Source organism: Homo sapiens, chromosome 2, assembly GCF_000001405.40.
Source record: "Homo sapiens chromosome 2, GRCh38.p14 Primary Assembly".
Taxonomy (NCBI): domain Eukaryota; kingdom Metazoa; phylum Chordata; class Mammalia; order Primates; family Hominidae; genus Homo; species Homo sapiens.
Window position 1 is genome coordinate 75,695,602 of NC_000002.12, and position 18,077 is coordinate 75,713,678.

General features: G+C 39.6%; 1 protein-coding gene and 1 long non-coding RNA gene across 13 annotated transcripts in view, besides 2 other annotated features; one reads left to right on the forward strand and one right to left on the reverse strand.

The window, feature by feature from the left end:
• Positions 1 to 17,521, reverse strand: part of GCFC2 (GC-rich sequence DNA-binding factor 2) — a 50,418-nt gene extending 32,897 nt beyond the window's left edge. For 4 of the 11 annotated variants that reach the window (XR_007080682.1, XM_005264520.5, XM_011533075.3 and 1 more), the window contains exons 1-5: positions 14,990 to 15,314; positions 10,922 to 11,050; positions 6,598 to 6,846; positions 5,589 to 5,686; positions 599 to 714 (exon numbers count right to left, since the gene is read on the reverse strand). Coding sequence is in view for 10 of the 11 variants with exons in the window: in XM_005264520.5 (XP_005264577.1) it covers positions 599 to 714; positions 5,589 to 5,686; positions 6,598 to 6,846; positions 10,922 to 11,050; positions 14,990 to 15,254 (857 nt within the window). In the remaining variant the exon portion in view is untranslated. Of the gene's footprint in view, positions 1 to 598; positions 715 to 5,588; positions 5,687 to 6,194; positions 6,847 to 10,921; positions 11,051 to 14,842; positions 15,315 to 15,390 lie in introns of those variants that run through there. The other 7 variants (XM_047445615.1, NM_001410845.1, NM_003203.5 and 4 more) reach the window with 7 other exon arrangements.
• Positions 14,846 to 15,145: a silencer, noted in NCBI's record as "silent region_11683". NCBI's record gives its function as "represses an Ori minimal core promoter by ATAC-STARR-seq in GM12878 lymphoblastoid cells {active_cell/tissue: GM12878}" and the evidence as "EXISTENCE:reporter gene assay evidence [ECO:0000049][PMID:35858748]".
• LOC105374813 (uncharacterized) overlaps positions 15,174 to 18,077 on the forward strand; it is a 41,322-nt gene continuing 38,418 nt past the window's right edge. The window contains exon 1 of one of the 2 annotated variants that reach the window (XR_007087116.1): positions 15,174 to 15,433. This is a non-coding gene — a long non-coding RNA (uncharacterized LOC105374813). The remainder of the gene's footprint in view (positions 15,434 to 18,077) is intronic. The other variant, XR_940260.2, reaches the window with a different exon arrangement.
• Positions 16,124 to 16,695: an enhancer, noted in NCBI's record as "H3K27ac-H3K4me1 hESC enhancer chr2:75938851-75939422 (GRCh37/hg19 assembly coordinates)". NCBI's record gives its function as "activates a minimal SCP1, AML or CMV promoter by ChIP-STARR-seq in naive H9 embryonic stem cells {active_cell/tissue: H9 hESC(naive)}" and the evidence as "EXISTENCE:reporter gene assay evidence [ECO:0000049][PMID:30033119]".

The window sequence follows — 18,077 nt, forward strand, 5'->3', positions numbered from 1 at the left end:
AATGCAAATAATACCAAAGCCTATATATGCTGTTTTTTCCCTATACATAGGTAACTATGATAAAGTTTAATTTATATATTACATACAGTACACCTGCACTGTGGGGCAATTATTAAGTAAAATAAGGGTTACCTGAACACAAGCACTGTGATACTGCAATAGTTGATCTGATAACTGAGATGGTTACTATGTGACTAACAGGCTGCTGGCTTACAGAGCAAAGAGATGCTGGACAAAAGGATGATTCTCATCCTGGGCAGGATGAAGCAGGGCAGCTCAAGATGTCATCACACTACTTAGAACAGCATGCAATTTAAAACATATGAATTGTTTATTTCTGGAATTTTCCATTCAATATTTTTGGACCATGGTTTCACTACCGATAACTGAAACCATAGAAGGCAAAAATGCAGATATGGGGGGGACTAGTGTATACAAAAATGAAATAAATTGTGTTAGTATGATAACACAGGAGATCCTTTTTCCCCCCCATAAGTCTGTTTAATATCAGTACTTAATAATCTAAAAGAATATAGTGTTATATCTTTAGTATTAAATATCTAGGACAAATGTAAATTTCAAAATGAGTATTGCTCACCTAGTATTTAATTGCTTCTTTATAATTTCTAAATTTACTGGCGGAAATGAAATGGAAGTATCAAATTTCTTCACTTTTGAAGATCCATTGCCACAGGAAAGATCTATGTCTCTTTCCTAAAAAAGTAAAAATAGATTTTTACAAAACCATTTATTTCATTTACCTTTGAAACATTAATAGCATGTAAAGGGACTGGATGATCCAAGGTCTCTTCAAGCTAAAAAATTCCATGTCTTTGTAATTTTTCATGGTCCCAATAAAATGTTTTTAAATTCAGTTTTAAAATTTAGAAGTTTAAATTCATATTTAAGAAGCAAATTCTAAAAATTACATTTTTAAAAAAGTTTAGTTTTGAAGCTAATTTTGGTTATGGTCTAATGTACTCTCAGAAAGTCACCCAGTTTTTTAAGAAACAACAATCCTTCATGAATATTAATTTGTGGAGTAGACAGACCTGTCTGGCTGACCTAACACCTATTTCCATGATAGAAGTACCTATTTAACTGCAACTCCATTCTAGTCAATGAAAAGTAAATGGAAGTGTGCTGGAGGGTTTGTAGGTAAAGTTTTTACTTTTCTTTAAGACATTCTTTCTTTTTTTTTTGAGATGGAGTCTCGTTCTGTTGCCCAGGCTAGAGTCCAGTGGCACAATCTCGGCTCACTGCAAGCTCCGCCTCCTGGGTTCACGCCATTCTCCTGCCTCAGCCTCCCGAGTAGCTGGGACTACAGGCGCCTGCCACCATGCCTGGTGAATTTTTTTGTATTTTTAGTAGACATGGGGTTTCACTGTGTTAGCCAGGATGGTCTCAATCTCCTGACCTCGTCATCTGCCTGCCGTGGCCTCCCAAAGTATTGGGATTACAGGCATGAGCCACCACGCCCAGCCAAGACATTCTTATTTGGGTTTTCTGGTCCTTGTAAAGAAATGCACTCCTAACATATATCTTATAACATGGTATGTTTCACATTAGTGTCCTCTGTCTAATCACAGCTCCTCCATGCTTGGAATGTTCAAAAGATCCTGAAGAACCTCTATTTTACACAAAGACACATGAAGAAAACTGACCAGATATTTAGCCAATTTCACTGGCTTAGCTATTCTTTTTATATTTTCCATGAAGCATCATCTTTTGTCATTTCAGTTCTCACCAAGCCTCCCATCCAGCTCTACGCATATCTACAAAATCTCCAAACACTCTTGATATTTTGCAGTCAATAACCCATTCAAATATCACCACTTCCATAAATGCTTTCTCAGACTTCCTCACTTACCTTCCCTCCTATAAAACTGATCACCCACTTGCTCCTTTGTGCCACCTCAGGACCCTGCACAGAGTTCTGTCACAGCACCTGTAGGATTTCACTATAATTGTTTTGTTTAGTTGTCTCCCTTCCTGCAGAGGTTGTACATCATTGTAACTGGCCGTAGCAGGCTAATGGTGACCCCATGAAAACATGTTCACATTCATGTTCATGTTCATTATATGGCAAAAGATGTAATTAAGACTTTGAGATGTGGTGTATATCCTGGATTATCCCGATGGGGTCTGAATACAATTACATGTACCATCCTAAGAGATAGGGAATTTTGGGACACAAGAGAAGAAGCAGATGTGAAGATGCAACAAAGAGAGATGTGGCCACAAGCCAAGGCATGCCAACAGCCACCAGAAACTAGAAGAGTCAAGGAATGGATTCTCCTACAGAGTTTCTGGAAAGGGGGGTTGCTCTACTGACATTATGATTTTGGACTTCTGGCCTCCAGACCTCAGAGCGAATAAACTTCTATTGTTTTAAGCCACCAAGTCTGCAGTAATTTGTTACAGGAGCCACAGGAAAGTAACACAGTGGCAAATGGTAGATTTTCAATAAAGGAATCAGTAAATGTACTCACATTAGCAATAAAAATGAAAATCAAATAAGTGTGAGATTCCATTTTCACCAACTATACTTGGACCTGAAGAGGGCAAGATTATGGTAAAATATTCCCATGATATTGGCGACATTACAGATTGAGCTAAGTTTTCTTTAAATGGCAATAGAGAAAAATATACTAAGTGCCATAAAAATGTTCATCTCGATTAGTAATACAACTCTTGGCAATTATTACAAAGGAATAGTTCAAAAACACACATCTGAACAAAAGAAAGGAGAGGAGGAAAATAATTAAATATTCACTGATTCTTATTTGTTAATTAAAAAAATCAGATTGCAAATAACCTAAAATGTCCAAAATGAAGAATGGTTAAGATTATGATTCAGTGACTCCAGTGAATATTATATAGCTATTAAAATCAGTTGTTATAACGATATAAAAACAAGAGAAGATAATTTATAATATGTCAAGCAAGGAAATCAGAATTCAAAATTGCATGCATATTGTGGTTCCTAAACTGTGTGCAAAGGCATCCTAGCAAATTTAAAGGGGTGTAGTGAGACATTTTAAATTTTTTAGGGAAAAACCGTAATACTCAACATCTGTTGGACTACTAGCTCTTAGTTCACAGTTACATTAGAATGTGTTCCATATGGCCAGACACAGTGGCTCATACCTGTAATCCTAGCACTTTGGGAGGTTGAGGTGGGCAGACTGCCTGAGCTCAGGAGTTTGAGACCAGCCTAGGCAACATGATGAAACCCCATCTCTACTAAAATACAAAAAATCAGTCAGGCATGGTGGTATGTACGTGTAGTCCCAGCTACTCAGGAAGCTGAGGCATGAGAATTGCTTGAACCTGGGAAGTGGAGGTTGCAGTGAGCCGAGATCATGCCACTGTACTCCAGCCTAGGCGACAAAGAGAAACTCTGTCTCAAAAAAAAAAAAAAAAAGAATGTGTTCCATTCCTTTTGATGAAGTCATATTTGTGGAGCTGGGTTTTGGGAGGATGCTATGATAAAAACAAGTATTGTGTGAACATCAGTATGGAAATGAGAGTGACAGTGTCCAATCTGACTCCAAGGTCTGAAAAGTCATGCAATGCCTAACAGGAACACACATCTCATTAGTAAGGAATTTTGGTTATTTAAAAAAAGATAAAAATGTTTTGCCTTCAATTTATCTGTATTATTTTTTCCAAATGGTTAGTTCTTAGGACATAAATTGTATAAAATTCTTTGGACTACTTAATAAATAGAACTGTTTGGTACTTCTTTTGGCTTACAAGTATCATGATAAAATTACCAAGACACTAACATCTCCATGAATGAGAAAGTTTGGGAATCTCTGATGTACACTATGATTGCAATTCTTGACCTCACAGAACTTATATTCTAGCAGCAGACCCACAGCCCAAATCTAGGACTTTTAACCCCAAGTACAGTACATTTGTTATGTTTCAAAGCTCACTACTTGTTTAAACTTTACATTCATTCATTCATTCATTTATTTATTTTTAGTGACAGGGTCTCACTCTGTTGCCCAGACTGGAGTGCAGTGGTGTGATCATAGCTCACTGCACCCAGAACTCCTGGGCTCAAGTGATCCTCCCAGCTCAGCCCCGCAAGTGGCTGGGACTATAGGCATGCGCCACCATGCCTGGCTAGTTTTATTTGTTTTTAGTAGAGTTCAGGTCTCACTGTGTTGTTCAGGCTGGTCTCAAACTACTGGGCTGAAGTGATCCTTCCACCTTGGCCTTCCGAAGTGCTGGAGTAACAGGTGTGAGCCACTATGCCTGGCCAAATCTGGGCTTTAACGTTGTTTTTTTTTTTTTTTCTTAAATGAGACAGGGTCTCACTCTGTCACCCACGCTGAAGCGCAGTGGCGTGATCTTGGCTCACTGCAGCCTTGACCTCCTGGGCTCAAGCAATCCTCCCACTTCAGCCCCCCAAGCAGCTAGGACTACAGGTGTGTGCCACCATGACTGGCTAATTTTTGTATTTTTTGTAGCGGCAGGGTTTGGCTATGTTGCCCAGGCTAGTCTTCTTTGTACTCAAGTGATCCACCTGACTCAGCCTCCCGAGCTTTGGTTTCTGATACCATTTTTAGCACTTCATCCCACCTTACTGTATTGTACCAAGACCCCTATTGTTGGATATTTACTTTGTTTACATCTTTTAAAAAATTAAATAAAACACAAAACTATTATTTGTGTATGCAGAAATGTAACAGTTACATATCATAATATAGGTATAACATATTTGTGTATAATATTTACCATAGGGTTCACTACAATAAAAAATTATATGAGAAATCACATAATGAGATTTAATATATAAATGATATATATTATCTATTCACTAGATTGCTATGAAATCATTAAGGTGTAGTCGAAGTAGATATACCATTGCGGTGAGATGTCTCTGTTGTATTGTGAAGTGAAAAAAACAGTCTCCAAAGAGAAAATTGGATATATTTGTATTATACAGAACAGGCGTTTAAAAGTAAAGCTTGAGGGCTAAACTTTACTTTTAAGCACCTGTACAATATAAACTGTCAATTACTATAAAATTAAAGATTAAAAAAATAGTACCCTCAAGTGGAAGGTATTTATAATCTAGTGGAAAATAAGATAATATGCACAGTGTAGTGGGTTGAATGGAGGCCTCCCAAAAGATACATCCATGACATAATCCCTGGAAAGTGCAAACATGACCTTATTTGGAAAAAGAGTCTTTGTGGTTGTAATTAAGTGAAGGATCTTGGATTATCTGAGTAGGCCCTAAACCCAATGACAAGTATCCTTACGAGAAAAACACACAGTAGAGACATGGAAAAAGCCACGTGAAGACAGAGGCAGAGAGAGGAGTTATGTAGTCACAAGCCAAGAAACACCTGGAATGACCAGAAGTTGCAAAAGGCAAGGAAGAATTACCGCTCCCCACAACCCCCCAGGGCCTTTGGAAGAAGCAAGGTGCTGCCAATACCTTGACTTCAGATTTTGGCCTCCACGCTGTGAGAGAATAAATGTGTGTTCTTTTGAGTCACCAAGTTTGTGGTAATTTGTTATAGCAGCCACAGGAATCTAATACACATGGGATAAAAAATGATTACCTCTATGATTTTAACTGCTTTCCTCATTTGCTGTTGTTCCCAAGTATCTTGCTTTTCATCTTCCTGACTTTCTTCACTTGTTTCTTCATTTCTGCTTACTAGCGGAAAAAAAGCTCACATGTAAACGTTTAGTATTTTTCCATTTTAATTGCAGCAAGCCAACATTTTTTGAGATTATACAAAGGCTTAGCACCACTTGACGTGTTATTTATTCTTCATAATAATTCTGGGAAGAAGGCACTATTACTGCCCTCATTTCACAAATGAGGAAATGCAAATATTGGGAGGTTAAGTAACTGTCTTAGGACTATGTTGAAGCTGGAAGCTGGATCCTGGGATCTGACTCCATAACCTGCACTCCTATCACTAAACTGTCCCACTCAAAACACTATAGCCCTATATTGTAAAAAACTGAGAAAGAATGAAATGTTTGGTTTTTCTTATCAAAGATCTCTCAATTACTACCTGAGAATCCAAACACTTAAAAATAAATTGTAAGGAACTAAGTCCTTTTCTGAAAAAAATATTATTTAAAGTTACCAAAACCTTGGTCAAATGCATATATCATAAATGAGAAATATGAAAACAGTCCTTTAAGGCTTAGTATTATTGGTAGAGGAAATTTTTTATTACAGCAGGGAAGATTTTAATACATGACATCTAAAATCTCTATAGATGCTTCCATGTTAAAAAAAATATATTTATACAGGTAAAAACGATCGTTTTCAATGCTTTGAAAGTAAGATACTGCACATTTTTTTTAACCTGTCCAAAAACATCAAGGTGGGAGGTCAGGCATTAATAAACATTATTACACATACTCCTTGATAATAACATTTTGATACAGATACATCTTTTAGAGGTCACAATATCATGGACCAAATCGATGTTAAAAACCATTATCAACACTATAAAATGTGAGCCAGCATATTACATTTTTTATGGAGATTCTCTCATATTATATTCTAATAAAAAATATCCTAATCTTCATATATTGGTAAATCCATACTTGATTCCTCAGCCATCCTTTGTCTAAGTGTTTGAGGTCTTAGAGTAAATGGTATTCTCTTTTCATGGTCATCAGGCTCACTCTCAGGGTCATCTTCGCTCTCTCTCTTCATACCAGAGATGGAGGAGGTATGTTGTACATCCAAAGAAATATAGTCATCTTGGGCCCTGGCCAATTCACGTTTTCTGCGGGCTGCCTGAATAAAAGCTGCATCTGGGATCTTAACTGAAGGAAACAAAGACGAGGACACTAAAAACCAAAGACCAATGTAAGTAAATATTCCTCACATTTAAGAAAAAGAAAAAAGCACCATTTTCCTAAATTATTTGCTATTTTGATATATGAATGTGACTTTAATAAATGGCTCAAAATCTGTATCAGCAAAGGAAGAAAACTTAATAGAGATTAAATACAACTTAGAAAAATCAAACAAATCTAGAAGTATCAGAAAATATACTGAAACTGCTTCATTTTATCTTTTAACTCTCTTACTCATCAGGTACTGCTCACTTTGTTGAGGGGTCGCTATTTCTCATTTCTGGAAGCTCTGAGATTGTCAGCGCAGGGATGTGGAGAGGGCTGAGTGTGGTGTTCCCCAATCAGTGAGAGCTACAGAAGTTAGAAGGATCAATGACAGACCAGCCTGACTTACCAAGTAAGAGAGATACTACACTATGATGTCCTCCTTCCTCCTTCCCTCCTACCCACACTTACAAGAAATCACAAACATACTACAAACAGTAACAGAGCAAAGCCAAATTAGCCTCTGCGGTTCTGTAGTGAGCCCCACGTGAATAAACATGAGACATTAAGAAGTGTAAAGAAAATAATCAGGCTCATTTACCAGGTGAAAAATTTTAAATGACAACAACTCTTAAGAGAGTCTTATTTTTTTTCTTTATTTTGTACAGCATAAATATCATTAGCATAAACTCTTCCAATTTAAAACGAGTTTCTTCATGCATGATCTAAGCTGAAATTTATCTTCATTCTGGAAAAAACGGTTTCTTAAGAAAAATACTACATTAAAGAAACAGCGAGAGAAATTTTCACCATTTTAAGCACTTCAAACTACTAAAAAGATGTCAAGCTACTGAGGCTGAAGTGAAATTTTCTAAACTTTCCCACAAGTTGACCCAAATTCTTTGAGAAATAAACAGAAAAATGCCATGTACTTGGAGATGCACAAAAGCTCCCATGTTTGAAACAAACAAAAAAAGAGAAAGATTTTAGAAATCACAGACCAATATGCTTGACATCAGCCCTAGGGAAAATTAAAAGTCCTTGAGTGAATCATGAAGCAATAAAGAAATCACTAGAAGTCAATAAATATTCATCAAGAACAAGTAATAGAAAATGAAGTGATTTGCTTTTTTATAGATTAGTAATTATTTATAGACTACTGTCAGGGACATGATGAAGGTCAGGTGTCTCTTCCTCCTCCCAAAGCATTTAAGATTCAAAACCATCACAGCAGGTTATAGTAGCAATTCTCGACCCTGGCTACACATCAGAGTCACCTGAGAAGCTTGACATACCCAGGCCTCTATACCAGTGATTCAGATGTTGATCTGAGGCAGAGCTGAGCAGAAGTATGTTTTTATAGCTCCCTAGAGGATTTTAATGTGCAGGCAGGATTAAGATAAGACATTTAGGTTCAAATACTCAAGTGTATGAATGTGGACACAGAAATACTTATTTTGGAAGTGATTTTCTTGCAGGTGACTCGGTAGGGTTTAATTAGTAAGTCACAAGCAATGGGACACACTAGTAAGATATTAGTGCTACATAAAGGTAACTGCTCAAGTAAAAATAAAGAAGTAAAAAACCAAGGAAGAGAAGAGTATTGCGTTTGTCCTGTTTCTGCATATTCAATACCTCGTTCAAGGGTTCTCACACAGCAGATGCTGGGCAGACATAGGAGGAATCAATAATGTCAGCATATTGTTCAATAATAAATACATCATGTTTTTACAAATTTATAACTTATGAATAATTCTTCACATATATCATCCTATCTGATATGCAATCATCTAGGGCTGAGAGGTAAATTATCATCTTCTATTAGTAACAAGTAATCTCTGCTAGAGGGACTATTTTGAGGCAGTTATTCATCGGAACACAAATAAATGCTCTTCTTCCACATGCCAGCCCTTAAAATTAACACATTCCTCCATCTTTTCTTCGCCAGCCAATAAGTCCTTCGAACTTTCAGGTGTTCCTCACAGGACAAGTTTTCAATTTTTAATCAGCGTTTCTCAATGTGCATAGGGGATGGGCAATTCACTGCGCTGAACTGTTCTGCACTCCTGTTAAGACATTTATCATCCCTTGCCTCTAGGGCACTATGTGCCAGCAACAACTCAACTACTATAATCATTTAAATAATCCCACACATTTTCAAACGCTGCCCTCTCTCCTAAGGTGGGGGCAGTGCTGCCAACACTTTACAACCACTGCCTTATCCTGTTTAATCCACCATCTTTTTTTGTTTGTTTGGTTTTGAGATGGAGTCTTGCTCTGTTGCCCAGGCTGGAGTGCACTGGCATGATCTCTGCTCACTGCAACCTCTGCCTCCCAGGTTCAAGCAATTCTTTTGCCTCAGTCCCCTGAATTACAGGTGCATGCCACCATGCCTGGCTAATTTTTACATTTTTAGTAAAGCCAGGGTTTCACCATTTTGGCCAGGTTGGTCTCAAACTCCTGACCTCAGGTGATCCATCCACCTCGGCCTCCCAAACTGCAGACATGAGCCATGGCACCTAGTCTAATCCGCCATCTTTTATAGTAGCATTGTTTGGTACAGTAGCCACTAGCCCTATGTGAGTATTCAAATATAACTAAAAATTCAATTTCTCAGTCTCGCTATAGCCACATTTCAAGAGCTCAACAGCCACTTGTGACTAGTGGCTACCATATGGACAGTGAAGATAGAAAATTTTTCCAAACCACAGAAAATTTTACTGAATAGCACTGTATCTAGAATCCAGACAAGGCTTCAACTGTTTACTAGATTTCAGTTCTTAATATTGGCTTAATCGCTTAGTATTTCTGTACCTTGTGGACATGGAGAAGAAACAAAATTACAAGGTTACAGAGCTACTGGTTGTTGTTATTTAATAGGCTAATAAAGAAGCACTTATGGCCGGGCGTGGTGGCTCACGTCTGTAATCCCAGCACTTTGAGAGTCCGAGGTGGGCAGATCAAGAGGTCAGGAGATCGAGACCATCTTGGCTAACACGGTGAAACCCCATCTCTACTAAAAATACAAAAAATTAGCCAGGCGTGGTGGCCTATAGTCCTAGCTACTCAAGAGGCTAAGGCAGGAGAATGACGTGAACCTGGGAGGCGGAGCTTGCAGTGAACCCAGATTGCGCCACTGCACTCCAGCCTGGGCGACAGAGTGAGACTCCATCTCAAAAAAAAAAAAAAAAAAAAAGAAGCACAGAAGCACTTATTACTATATTACAAGCGTCATAAAATATATTTTAATAATTTTATTTCAATATAATTTGTTTCCTCTACAAAGCTATGTATTTTACTTTATTTTCTCAGAAGGGATCTTAGGCTTCACTAGACTGAAAAAGGAGTCCACGGCACAAAACAAGTTATAAACCTCTGTAAGACGCCAGATAAATATTTTTCACTTTGCGGGCCATAGGGTCTTTGTGGCAACTTCTCAACTCTGCTGCTGCAGTGCAAAAGCACCCACAAATATTAAGTAACTGAAAGACTGTGATTGTGTTTTAATAAAACTTTGTTTACAAAAACAGGTGGTGGGCCAGATTTGCCAACCCCTGAACTAGACTGATCTTTCTAAGACACAAAAACATTCATGTCATCTGTATAAAATTTTCAGTGGTTCCCTAAGCCCTGTATAATCTGACTCCAACTTGTCCTTCCTGTTTTCTTTTCCTTAAACTCGCAACCAAATACTTTCAGCCAGAGCTATTTTTAGCTTCCTGCACATATTACATACCTTCCCTAGAGTTTCAGATATGCTACATCCTATACCTGAAACATCCTCCCTGACAAATTCTTACCATCCTTCAAGTATCAATGTCAATCACCCAGTATAGCACAGTGATTAAGAAGAATACAGGCTCCAGAACAAACTGGGTTTGAATCCTAGCCCTGCTACTTATAAGCTGTCTGACCTGTGCATGTTAAAATGTAATAAAAATGAGCAATTTTGGCACTCTGACAATCATCATTAATGACCTACTTGCCCCATGTCACTAGAGTTTGTTATGTCATTAATAACTATATCAAAAACACTATATTAAAAATAAAATTCTTAACCAAAATCATACAAATTACTAACCTGTTGATGAAAGTTCTTTTTCTCCAAGAGAGCTAGAACTGTCAGAAGACAAACCCTGATCATCCTTACTTTCTGAGGAGTGATGTATTTTATCCTCTTCATCTGTGGACACATCAAGGGTTCTGGATTCTAACAGGACATTTTAAAAATACAACAAAAAAGAGTCAAAATAATGGAATTATTAATTGAAATTCTGAACAACACATGGCATATGTATAATACGGTGTTTTAATCCTAGTCCATATATTAAAGTAGACATATTGATCTTCCTCCAACTTTCTTTCTTAAGCAACTGAATGATCTACTAAGTGTACAAAGACCCTATTTGTATTATCTAGGCATCTAATAATATATTTCCAAAAGTATGCAATGAGAAAAGGGAAGGAGGCATTAGAGAAAAAAAAAGCGACAAAAAATGAAGTAATATTTAGAATAGTAATGATTGTGAATAAGTAGAAAAGAAAAATATTTAATGTATACTATGTACTAGGCACACTGAAACCTGTTTTACATGACTTATTTAATACCTGTAATTCTATAAAGTAAATGCAATTTCTGATGAGTTCACTAAGGATTGAGAGGATAAAGAACACCAACTCGGGCAGTGGAGAAGCAGGGCTGTCAACCTAATCCCAGGCAACTTCAGAACTTAGGCTCTCTTTATAGTATGCCATATTTCAACGGCTGGTGGCGAGAAATATTGTAACGAGCACTTTGGTCAATATTAAACCATGGGTCCATCTTTTCAATGCATGATTTGGGAAGGTAAATAGTCTGTTAAATTCAATTAATCTGTTAAACAAAGATAACACCAAGATAAAACCCACAGGGGTGTTGTGAAAATTGAATGAACAAAATAAAGGAATTCTTGACATTATTGACAAGAAAGGATTTCTTAATCCACAATAAATTTGCAATCTTTATGAGTAACCTTAAAACATAAGATTACATACTACTCATTAATTTTAATTTTCTACCTTAGTTAGAAGACCTACATACAGTTCAAAAAAGGCTGGAGTAAAATCAAAATTTAAAACACTAAAAAAAATATAGCTGCAGCTCACATCTTTCTTAGATATTGTCATTTATGACAACCCATACCTGTTTCCAAAGTGGATTAACACCAAAGCAGTGGGTCTTAAAGCATGGTTTATCAATCCCTGGAGGTCCTTGAGACTCTTTCAGAGAGTCTGTGAAATTAAAACTACTTTCATCACAATAATAACATGTTATTTGTTCTTTTTACCATGTTGATATTTATATAATGAAGTAAAGGCAGTGATGGGTAAAACTGCTAGGCTCTTGGCATGAATGAATCAATTTGTAGTAGCAGTTATGGTATTTTTCCTTACCTCACATGGCAGAAAAAAGCCAGTTGCTCTTCATGAACTAATTAAAAAATTGTTATTTTATTAAATTTTGACCCTTGAGTACACATGTTTAATATTCTTTGTGACAAAATCAAAGTATTCATAAGGCACTTTTGCTGCATCTTGAAATGCAATGGCTGCCTTAAGGAAAAGCATTTGTGTGACTGAGTTGCAAGCTGAACTAGACGTTGTTTTTAAGAAGCATCACCATTTTACTTGAAAGAATGACTAACAAACCGATTATTCAGACATGGCTATCTGACAAACATTTTCTCAAAACATGAGCCCGGTTGTGCCTATCAATAAAATGAGAGATTTCAAGTGAAAATTGAGATTTTGGAAAACTTATATTCTCTACTGTGAACCTAACAGCTTTCCAGTACTTACAGACTGATTAATCAGTGGTAATACTATGATTTTTTTGGTATTGTACAATAAAATGCTCCAACATTTGCAAGATCTGCAAACTCAGCTAATGAATACCTTCCAAATAATGCAAGATGTTACCAATCGTTCATGAGTAAAAGATCCAAAGTACAAAACAGAACAGAGTTTTAAGGTAAGAGCACCCCAAATTTAATCATATGGTTTAAGAATCCATTTGGCAACTTTTTTTTTTTTTTTTTTTTTTTTTTTTGAGATAAAGTCTCACTCTGTCACCCAGGCTAGAGTGTAGTGGCACAATCTCAGCTCACTGCAACCTCTGCCTCCCGGGTTCAAGTGATTCTCTGCCTCAGCCTCCTGAGTAGCTGGGATTACAGGCACCCACCACCATGCCTGGCTAATTTTTGTATTTTTAGTAGAGATGGGGTTTCACCATGTTGGCCAGGCTGGGCTCGAACTCCTGATCTCTTGATACACCTGCCTCGGCCTCCTAAAGTGCTGGGATTACAGGTGTGAGCCACTGTGCCCGGCCCGCAACTAACTTTTAAGAAGGGTTAGTTTATTACTTGTTGAGCTGTGTTATATTAAAGCACAACACCCTCAATGATCTAAAAATGCTATTAAGTACTCGTCTTAATCATGTATCTGTCAGAGGCTGTATTTTCTTCAAATACTTCAACCAAAACAAAATAGCACAAGAGATTAAAAGCAGAAACACCTATGACAATTCATCTGTCTTCTATTAATATTTTGCCAGACATTAAAGAGATCTGTAAATTGAAAACAATGCTACTCTTCCTTTTTTGGGGTAATACTTTTCACAAAAATCTTACTTATCCTTACATGTAATAGATTTTTTGTAAGTGAATTAATAAATTTTATTTTTAGTGTGATAAATATTGATAGGTATAACCTACTGAAACAAAAGCTCTTTGGAATCCTTAATCATTTCTAAGAGTCTAAAAGAGGTCCAATTCCCAAAGAGTTTGAGAACCACTATTCTAGAAGGCAAGAGAAAAGGAACTCCTGACTTCAACTTTCATCTACAAAGTTTAACCAGAAAACAAATATAAAAGGTCATGAAAACTTTAGACAAATAGAAGGTCACAAGAAAGACCAAGAAATCACGAAGATCATAAACCTGGAGGACATTATGTTACATGAAATAAGACAGGCACAGAGAGACAAACACCACATGATCTCACATATGTAATCTAAAAAAGTGGAAATCAGAAATCACAGAAGCAGAGAGTCGAGTAGTGGTTAGAAGGGACTGAGTGAGGTTGAGGGTAGTTGGGAAGATACTGGTCAAAGGGCACACATTTTAATTAGACAAGAGGAATTCTATTCTACAACACGGTGACTAAAATTAATAACAATGCATTGCATACTTGAAAATTAGTAAGAGTAGATAGTAAGTGTTCTCACCACAAAAAAAAGTAAGTACCTAAGGTAAAGCAAATGTTAATTAGCTCCATTTAGTCACTGTAGACACATTTCAAACATCATGTTGTACACTATAAGTATATACATTTTTTACTTCTCAATAAATTAATAAAAATCACTTTAATGACAATAAAAAATAATAGGAAGATTTTAGCTCTCAAGACTAACCAAAAACCGTATTCCTCATTAAGCTACAATTCCAACTCAGAGCAGCACATTTTATTTAAACAACTTTATGCTGCCTTACACCTGTATTTAAGAACTCAAAGGTACTTCAAAATGACGACACTATATCTAACACCATTACTGGTACCATCTACAGTGTCATGAATCTCTATCATGCTTCTTTGTGTTGTATATATTACTATTAGTTTTTGCAAATAACTGGTGAAAAAAGAAAATAAACAAAGGGGAATGTCCCAAAACCTAGATTCCTGTACTACTCTGGCTAAATGTTTTCAAGAAAGATAAGTTGGTCAAGTGTCTAAAAGGTACATATAACTTCTGCCCACTTAATAGTATTATAAATTATTGAACTTTGTTGTGACAGTTTAGGTTCTTCATAAACTTTGATAACTGTGTTAGTTATAACTGATGGAGTCAACTGATGGTGAAAACGAAGAGCCTCCCAACTGTACACGATTGTTTTATTTCCCCCAAGGAGTCCAAAAGGCAGATGCAGATAGCGGGCAAGTGCTCGAGCTATTTTCTCGCTCACTACCTTCTGGATAAGTCTTTCTGGATAAGACTCAGCATGGCTTGTGGTCGGCAGCAAGTTATAGAACCCCCAGAGAAGGATCCAGAGACCCCGCGGCCCCTTCCCGCCCTGTGCCGTCACCTCCCCGCTTCCCCGCGTCTCCCTGGACACCTGAGCCTTCGTCCGCGCGGGGAGCCGCTTTGGTGGCACGCCGGGAGCTCGCCCAGACCCGGCCCCGGCCACGAGGGCCCCGAACCCGGTGGGGCAGTCCCGCCACCTGCGCGCGGCCTCCTCCAGAGGGCGGCTCTTCCTCCGCAGAACCCGGGACCGGAAGTTCCCTCGGCGCCCCAGGCTCAGCAGGCGACTCCTCGGCGCCATCGCTGTCGCTGGAATCAGCCGCGCGCTGCCGAAAAGTCCTTTTCGGCCTGTGAGCCATGGCCGAGGCCCGAGCGCCCGGCGCCCTAGAACCCGCTGAACCGCAAGCCGCAGCTTCAGTGCCCGCCCCCTAGGGCGCGCTCCCGCCGCGCCTGGCCGCCGAGTGCGCGCGCCCGTCCCGCCTGCCTTCTGCTCACCGCTACTCTGTCTGCGCCTGCGTGCTTTGGCTCCCTGGATCTGGTAGGCCGAGTTCTGTTCTGGGGCCTGAGTTTGCAAAGCATTCCCTTTGCCAGGTTAGGTTGCGTGGACTGACACCTTAGAGATTTTCACGGCCTATCCGGTCTGAGTCCCACGGAGAGCAGAACTCACGTGCTGTCCTTGTGCAAACCCCATCCAGAAATCAAGCGTTATGCTTTCCGTCCTGGACTGGAGCCAGATCCGTTGTCTTTTACTTTCTGGAGAGAGTGCCCCCTCCAACCAAGATTTAAAACAAACGAAACCCCAGCAGTGTGAGGCTCGGGGTAGGAGGAGATGCCTTTGAGAACAAAACCATAAAGTCTGTACATAAACAATGCATACAGACTAGCAAAAATCAAATGACTTCCCCCAGGCAGCAGGGCTTCAAGAGAGCCTGGTTAAATGTTTTCACCCTTAAAGAAACTATCTAAAAACAAAAAGCTATTGTCTGACGCAAATTTGTTCTATATTCATCAAGCTCTGTCTACTACTGTATCTGTATGGTAGAAATACTATATAATGTTGAGCTACTGCACACCTGTTATCAACTCCATGTTTAGTGGCGTCATATTGAGAGGTGACAGCGGGCCAGCTGGAGTTCCGGGTGGGCATGGGCTTGGCGGGCCTGCACTCGGAGCAGCCGGCCGGCCCTGCCAGCCCCGGGCAGTGAGGGACTTGGCACCCGGGCCAGCGGCTACAGAGGGTGTACTGGGTCCCCTAGCAGTGCCGGCCCACCGGCGCTGTGCTCGATTTCTCGCCGGGCCTTAGCTGCCTTCCCGCGGTGCAGGGCTCGGGACCTGCAGCCCGCCATGCCTGAGCCTCCCATCCACTCCATGGGCTCCTGTGCTGCCCGAGCATCCCCGACGAGCACCACCCCCTGCTCCACGGCGCCCAGTCCCATCGACCACCCAAGGGCTGAGGAGTACGAGCGCACGGCGCCGGACTGGCAGGCAGCTCCACCTGCAGCCCCGGTGCGGGATCCACTAGGTGAAGCCAGTTGGGCTCCTGAGTCTGGTGGGGACATAGAGAGTCTTTATGTCTAGCTCAGGGATTGTAAATACACCAATCAGCACTCTGTATCTGGCTCAAGGTTTGTAAACACACCAATCAGCACCCTGTGTTTAGCTCAAGGTTTATGAGTGCACCAATCGACACTCTGTATCTAGCTGCTCTGGTGGGGCCTTGGAGAACCTTTATGTCTAGCTCAGGGATTGTAAAAACACCAATCGGCACTCTGTATCTAGCTCAAGGTTTGTAAACCCACCAATCAGCACCCTGTGTTTAGCTCAAGGTTTGTGAGTGCACCAATAGACATTCTATCTAGCTGCTCTGGTGAGGCCTTGGAGAACCTGTGTGTGGAAACTCTGTATCTAACTAATCTGATGGGGATGTGGAGAACTTTTGTATCTAGCTCAGGGATTGTAAACGCACCAATCACGGCCCTGTCAAAACAGGCCGCTGGGCTCTACCAATCAGCAGGATGTGGGTGGGGCCAGATAAGAGAATAAAAGCAGGCTGCCCCAGCCAGCAGTGGCAACCCGCTCCGGTCCCCTTCCACAGTGTGGAAGCTTTGTTCTTTCGCTCTTTGCAATAAATCTTGCTACTGCTGACTCTTTGGGTCCACGTGGCTTTTATGAGCTGTAACACTCACCGTGAAGATCTGCAGCTTCATTCCTGAGCCCAGCGAGACCACAAACCCACCAGAAGGAAGAAACTCCAAACACATCTGAACATCAGAAGGGGCAGACCCCAGACGCGCCACCTTAAGAGCTGTAACGCTCACCGCGAGGGTCCGCAGCTTCATTCTTGAAATCAGTGAGACCAAGAACCCACCAATTCCGGACACAATATTGGCACCTTGAAATCAGCCATAAAGGGACTACTTATACCATATAAATTGGAAGACCTTAGAAGTCCAGGTGTTTCTCCCAGATATCCAGTCATTAAACATTTACCATTGTATCACTGACTATATGTCACCAAAGGAATCGAGAAGAGGCAAAGTTTCTCTGATTGACCTAGCCCCGGAATTTTTTTTTCTTGGCTTTGTCTTTTTTTCTTGGCTTTTCTCAATAAACTGAAACTCCTTGATGTAAATTTGGGAAATTATATGATACAGTATTATCAGTTATTCACAAGTTATTAATGTCTTATTATAAAGAGAGGCTTCTCTTTTTAAATCCAGGTAAAATTAGAGAACTACTTGTTTTTTTGTGTGTTTCTTTTGGAAAATTGGCAAATGGTGTGAAAAAGATATTTCTGGAGAATAGAGATACTTGTGGCATCTGAAAGAACAGCTTCCTATCATGGACCAAGTGCTCCTTGTAGTTAGAATAAACTTTAAAGATTGGAGATGGAGAAGTGGGTTCCGTTCGGTCCAGTGCTTTTCAGATGCCATCTTTCCATGCAGAATTCCCAAGTTCTGCCATGGATACTGCTCTGTACTCCCTTAGCAGAGGAGGACATCTTTCCAAATTACACTATAAAGTAGTTAATGCTAAACCAAACAGGAGACTATAATTTTTAGTTTAGTTAATTTTATGGACAGAGTCTCGCTCTGCCACCCAGTGCGATGGTGCAAATACAGCTCACTTCAGCCTTGACCTACTGGGCTTAGTGATCCTCCCACCTTAGCCTCCTGAGGATC